The 7,127-nt window shown below is 36.5% G+C and overlaps 1 annotated feature.

Moving 5' to 3' along the window:
- Window positions 220-349: a silencer, noted in NCBI's record as "silent region_19242". NCBI's record gives its function as "represses an Ori minimal core promoter by ATAC-STARR-seq in GM12878 lymphoblastoid cells {active_cell/tissue: GM12878}" and the evidence as "EXISTENCE:reporter gene assay evidence [ECO:0000049][PMID:35858748]".

Below are 7,127 nucleotides of genomic sequence, written 5' to 3' on the forward strand. Positions count from 1 at the left end.
TTTTAAATTCTCCAAAGGCATCCATTGGCCCCTAACAAAATGTATATGGTTGTTTTAATTATACGAATTAAAGAAGTCCTGTCTAATCACTTAAAAAGTTTGTATGTGTGTGTAAATGTGTAATTTTTTACATGTAGCTTATATATAGCATAGTAGCTATGCCATCTTCACTCTCACCACTATCATTCTCACTTTAAATCAACTGGTATTTGGATAACCATGTTAATTCAGAAAATGCAGGCTTTAAAACTTTGTCAAAACATGAGCATTTCACATAAGCAAGTAAGGTGATTACATTTTCAGGTTTTAAAATAGCCTGGTTTGTCCCCCTTGTCTAACCAAAATTTGTTTATTTGGTTTCGCTTGTAGCTTTTTCTGCTTTCTGTTTTCTCTGAAAGAGCCGTGAATGATGAGACGACAAAATATTGGATTATTTGTGCTCTTGAAACAGATGCCACCTGAGTTGTGACAGGTATTTTAAGTATAATCTTCTGCATTCACTTAACACTCTCATTTGAAAATTTTCAAACCTTGGGCATATTCTTGTTCATTTACCACTGAAATGAGTCACCTCTTGGGTGTGAAGAGAAAGCTAGGAATAAAATGGGAACAAGGAATGCAGGTGTAAGGGAACAGTAACAGAGAAATCGGAAGTATCTTGCAAAGTTTAACTGGCTCCAAATGCAGATGTAGAACAACCAGGGAGAGTGGGATAGTTTGATTTTTTTTTTTCCTGAAAGAGCACCCTACATTAACGTCAATAAACATAGAAATTATGGCTTTAGCTGACATTTTAGCAGCAAGCATTCTTCTTAAAATATTTCTGTTTGGTACTGTACTCACATGTTTCCCTGCTGTGGAACATGGTCAGAGGCTGGCTGCATCTTTGAAATGTTGTGTAATCTCATTCTCTTTTTGGATTTGGGTAAGTACTTAATATTTTAGTATCTTTTAAGATAAAGATTCTTTAGTTTGAAAAGGGTAGCTGGGGAAAAAAAATTTAAAGTAAACCTTCTCAAATATGGTTTGAAATTTTTACAAATATAATTTTAAGAACTAGAAAATGAAATTCTATGCATTTAAAGACAAGAAGGGGAAGACTGGAGGGAGGGGATGGAAGAAAGTCCAGGGTGATTGTTTGACTTATTTTAAAAAGTGCCTCTGATTTCAGGAGAAATTAGGAGTCACAACTCTCAATATCATGGTATTTCTTCTTTCTCCTGCCCCAAGAAATGCTGTTTAAAGAGGAACCACCATTTCTTCCTTGCTTTGTTTATATCATAAAAGTTGGTTTTCCAATTGCCTCTAAAGAGTAAATTCAGTGATATGTTTGTTGCAATGTTATGGAATCTGACACACCCAAAGAGCAGGTTCAGAACAGTGCCTGCATCCTGTACAGGTTGGAGAAGTGAGCCCCCACCCAGAGAAGGCCTGAGGCTGGTGCACAGAGCATGAGGCACACTAGCCAGGCTGAGTTGGGAGAATAGTCTTTGCTTCTGAGATCAGTTATTATGCAAGAAGGGCTTGATAATCCAATTCTCCTTCCAGAGAAACATGTTTCGGCACAGCCGAGATGTTCAGAGTGATCATTTTCCCAGAGCAGACAGATGATGTCCAGCCTTGTCTTTGATAGATTTTACAACACATAGTATAAAAATAAAGAACTTATTTGCTACATCTGCCAGCTTCACTGTGTGCCCATCTTCACTATTGGATAAATCCAGTGGATTTTTTTTTTTCACACACATGCTTTTTATTCTCATTTTTAATTATCTATAAGCCTGGAACTGTGCCTGAAATGAGGCAAAGCTGTGGCTGGGCCATTCATCTACTCTGGAGGTAAATCATGGCAGGAAGAGGTGTGTCTTCCTTGGCTCTTTTCTCTGATAGAACATAGGCCAGCAATGATATTCATTTGGATCTCTCCAGTGAGAGCCAATTTTGGTATCGGCATATATCAGAGAACAGATGCTATTGCTCAGTGTATTTTTACTGTTTTAAACAAGGCCAATGAAATCAGGATATTTACCATTGTCTCAGCACCATAGCGTAGGCGATACCCATCAGGCAGGAGATAAGGATGTTAATTTAGGGAATATCTGAATTCATGACTCAAGGTTAATGAAAGAGAGAATATTGGTTTTGCTTTTTTTCCCCCTTTTTAAAATGAGAAACTTGCACTTTTTAACAATACAGCATTTAATAAGTAAAATTAGAAAGAGTCCAAAATTCTCTCTCTGTGTTTGTCAATTGTTTGTTTGGCTTTGGTTTTAAATAGATATGGATCATGAATGATTTGAGAAAAAGGAAATATTCAGGAGCTTGAATATGGTGCAGAGCATAGTTCATTGTCTTCTTCAAAAATGCTTCTGACCACAAACATGGGTAGATTCATGCACAGCAAGCCAGAAGGAGATACCTCACTTTCTAATTTTTGGTTACGGTGCCTTGGTGATCTGCACCTAATTCATGTTAGCTTCATTTCTATGCCTCCTATTTAAAAGATTTGCAATTTCTTCTGAACCTATGGATTATATTGAAGGAAATTTAAAAAAATAAAGATCTGCAATTTACCTCAGAACATCCAGCTCCACTTATGAGTTGGAGCAATGGAGACCCTTTCTTCTCCTCGTGGCAAGAGAGACATAGTGGACAGATTTAGGTAGTAAGAGAAAGGGCATTCTGATGCCCAGGAAATCAGTGAAAGGATGAAGACAGAGAAGGGATTAAAGTGGTAGGTATAAATAAATGAGTTGGAATTACAAAAAGGAAGACATCATAAAGACAGAAACAGGCAAGTCTGGGATGCACAGGATGAGAGGCCTTATGAGTAGATGTGTGAGCGTCATGCCATGAACACTGCCAGGGTGTCCAGAGATGCTCCAGATGGGTGTTTGCTGCATGATGCAGGGGCAAGCCCAGGATGGAATTGGCAAGCTAAGAAGACCAAGCAGCATCTGAGTTCTTATAATTCGGTTAGGTCTGATTTTCTTTCTAATTAAACTCTTTTATATTAAGGTAATTTTAAATTCACATACAATTACATGAAAGAATACAGAGAGTTCATATATTCTTTATCCAGGTTCTCCTAGTGATAACATCACACAGAACTGTAGTACAGTATCCCAATCAAGACATCGTTATTGAAATAGTTAATATGCAGAATATTTTCATCACCATCAGATCCTTCAGGTGGCCATTGTCTACTCACATCTGTTTTCATTCCTCCCCATCCTTTCCTTACCCTTGGTAACCACTATTCTTTATTTCTATAATTTTGTCATTTCTATTATGTTACATAATAGTATCATATAGTATGTAACCTTTGGGTATTGAGTATTTTTTCTCAGCATCATTCTCTGGAGATTCATTCAGGTTGTTTTATGTATCAATAATCTGTGCCTTTTTATTGCTAAATAGTATTTCATGGTGTGAATGTACTGACTCTTTAATCGTTCACCCACCTAAAGACATCTGAGTTTTTTCCAGTTTTGGTCTGCTATAAATTACTAGCCAAAATAATTCATAGTTTATAAATAAGCTTCTATAAACTTTACATACAGGTTTCATGTAAATGTAAGTCATTGTTTGTCTAGGGTAAGTATCCAGGAGTACAATTGCTAGGTTGTGTAGTAGTTGCATGTTGAAATTTTTAAGAAATAACAAAACTGTTTCCAAAATGGCTGTATTATTTCACATTCCCACCATGAGTGCATGAGTGACTCAGTTTCTATGCATCCTTACCAGGTTTTGGTGTAGTAACTATTTTTTATACTAGCGATTCTGTTTGGTATGGAGTAATAACTTGTTGTGGTTTTTAATTTGCATTTCCCCATTGGCTAATGCTATTGATCATCTTTTCTTTTTTTTATTTCCAACTTTTATTTTAAGTTCAGTGGTACATATGCAGGATGTGCAGGTTTGGTACATAGGTAAACATATGCCATGGTGATTTACCGCACAGATCATCCCCATCACCCAGGCATTAAGCGCAGCACCCATTAGCTATTCTTCCTGATGCTCTCCCTCCTCCCACCCCTCACCCTCTGAGAGTGTGTGTTGCTCTTCCTACCAAGTGTCCATGTGTTCTCATAATTCAGCTCCCACTTATAAGTAAGAGTATGTGGAATCTGGTTTTCTGTTCCTGTGTTAGTTTGCTAAGGATAATGGCTCCCAGCTCCATCCATGTTCTTGCAAAGGACATGATCGCATTCCTTTTTATGGTTGTATAGTATTCCATGGTGTACATGTACCAAATTTTCTTCATCCAGTCTATCATTGATCAGCATTTAGGTTGGTTCCATGTCTTTACTATTGTGAATAGTGCTGCAATGAACATATGCATACATGTATCTTTATAATATAATGATTTATATTCCTTTGGCGATATACACTGTAATGGGATTGCTGCATCAAATGGTATTTCTGCCTCTAGATCTTTGAGGAATCATCACCCTTTCTTCCACAATAGTTTAACTAATTTACACTCCCACCAACAGTGTAAAAGCGTTCATTTTTCTTCATAACCTTACCAGTATCTGTGGTTTCCTGACTTTTTAATGGTTGCCCTTCTAACTGGTGTGAGATGGTATTTCACTGTGGTTTTGATTTGCATTTCTCTAATGACCAGTGATGATGAGCTTTTTTTCATATGTTTGTTGCCCGCATAAATGTCTTCTTTTGAGAAGTGACTGTTCATATCCTTTGCCTACTTTTTGATGAGGTTGTTTTATTTCTTGTAAATTTGCTTAAGTTCCTTGTAGATTCTGGATATTAGCCCTTTGTCAGATGGATAGATTTCAAAAATGTTCTCCCATTCTGTAGGTTGCCTGTTTACTCTGATGATAGTTTCTTTTGCTGTGCAGAAGCTCTTTAGTTTAATTAGATCCCATTTGTCAATTTTGGCTTTTGTTGCAATTGCTTTTGGTGTCTTTGTCACAAAATCTTTGCCCGTGCCTCTGTCCTGATGGTATTTACTAGGTTTTCTTCTAGAGTTTTAAAGTTTGGGGTTTTACATTTAAGTATTTAATCCATCTTGAGTTGATTTTTGTATAAGGTGTAAGGAAGGTGTCTAGTTTCAATTTTCTGCATGTAGCAAACCAGATCTTCCAGCATGATTTATTAATTAGGGAATCATTTCCCATTGCTTCTTTGTGTCAGGTTTGTCAAAGATCAAATGGTTGTAGTTGTTCTGTCTTATTTCTGGGTTCTTTATTTGGTTCCATTGATCTATGTGTTTGTTCTTGTACAAGTCCATGTTGTTCTGGTTACTGCAGCCCTGTAGAATAGAAAGTTGGGTAGCATGATGCCTCCAGCTTTAATCATTTTTCTTAGGGTTGTCTTGGCTATTTGGGCTCATTTTGGTTCCACATGAGTTCTAAAATATTTTTTTCTAATTCTGTGAAGAATGTCAATGGTAGTTTTATGGGAATCTATCAATCGTTTTGGGTAGTATGGCCATTTTCACAATTTGATTCTTTCTATCCATGAGCATGGAATGTTTTTCTATTTGTTTGTGTTATTTCTGATTTCTTTGGGCAGTGGTTTGTAGTTCTCCCTGAAGAGATCCTTAACTTTCCTTGTTAGCTGTATTTGAGGTATTTTATTCTTTTTTGTGGGAATTGTGAATGGGAGTTCATTTGTGATTTTGCTCTTGGCTTGCTTGTTGGTGGTGTATAGGAATGCTAGAAATATTTGCATATTGATCCTAAGACTTTTTTGAAGTTGCTTACCAGCTTAAGAAGCTTTTGGGCTGAGACGATGGGGTTTTCTAGATGTAGGATCATGTCATCTGCAAACAAAAATAGTTTGACTACCTCTCTTCCTATTTGAATACCTTTATTTCTTTCTTTTGCCTGATTGCCCAGCCAGAACTTCCAATACTATGTTGAATAGGAGTGGTGAGAGAGAAAAACTTTGTCTTGTGCTGGTTTTTCACAGGGAATATGTCTAGTTTTTGTCCATTCAGTATGATGTTGGCTGAGGGTTTGTCATATATGGCTCTTATTATTTTGAGGTATGTTCCTTCAATCCCTAGTTTTTTGAGAGTTTTTAATATGAAAGGATGTTAAATTTTATTGAAGGCCTTTACTGCATCTAGTGAGATAATCATGTGGTTTTTATCTTTAGTTTTGTTTATGTGATGTGATGAATCGCATTTATTTATTTGCATATGTTGAAGCAGCCTTGCATCCCAGGAATGAAGCCTACTTGATTGTGGTGGATAAACTTTTTGATGTGCTGCTGGATTTGGTTTGCCAATATTTTGTTGAGGATTTTTGCATTGATGTTCATCAAAGATATTGACCTGAAGTTTTCTTTTTTGTTGTACCTCTGCCAGGTTTTGGTATCAGTATGATGCTGGCCTCATAGAGTGATTTAGGGAGGAGTCCCTTCTCCTCAATTTTTTGCAATAGTTTCAGTAGAAATGGTACCAGCTCTTCCTTGTACCTCTGGTAGAATTCAGCTGTAAATCTATCTGGTCCTGGGCTTATTTTTGGTTGGTAGGCTATTTATTACCTCAATCTCAAAACCTGTTATTGGTCTATTCAGGGATTTAACTTCTTCCAGGTTGAGTCTTGGTAGAATGTATGTGTCCAGGAATTTATCCATTTCCTCTAGCTTTTCTGATTTGTGAGGATAGAGGTGTTCCTAGTAGTTTCTGATTGTTATTTTTATTTCTTGTGGGGTCAGTGGTAACATTCTCTTCATTATTTCTAACTGTGCTTATTTGAAACTTCTCTCTTCTTTATTAGTCTAGCTAGCAGTCTATATATTTTATTAATTTTTTCAAAAAAATAGCTCCTGAATTCATTGATTTTTTTGAAAGGTTTTTCGTGTCTCTATCTTCCTCAGTTCAGCTCTGATCTTGGTTATTTCTTGTATTTTGCTACCTTTGGGGTTTGTTTGCTCTGGGTTTTCTAGATTTTTTAGTTGTGATGTTAGATTGTTAACTTGAGATCTTTCTAGCTTTTTGATGTGGGCATTTAGTCCTATAAATTTCCCTCTTAACACTGCTTTAGCTTTGTCCCAGAGATTCAGCTACATTATCTCTTTGGTCTCATTAGTTTCAAAGAACTTCTTGATTTCCGCCTTAATTTAATTATTTACCCAAAAGTTATTCAGGA

The sequence above is a fragment of the Homo sapiens genome, chromosome 8 (genome assembly GCF_000001405.40).
Source record: "Homo sapiens chromosome 8, GRCh38.p14 Primary Assembly".
NCBI classification, from domain to species: domain Eukaryota; kingdom Metazoa; phylum Chordata; class Mammalia; order Primates; family Hominidae; genus Homo; species Homo sapiens.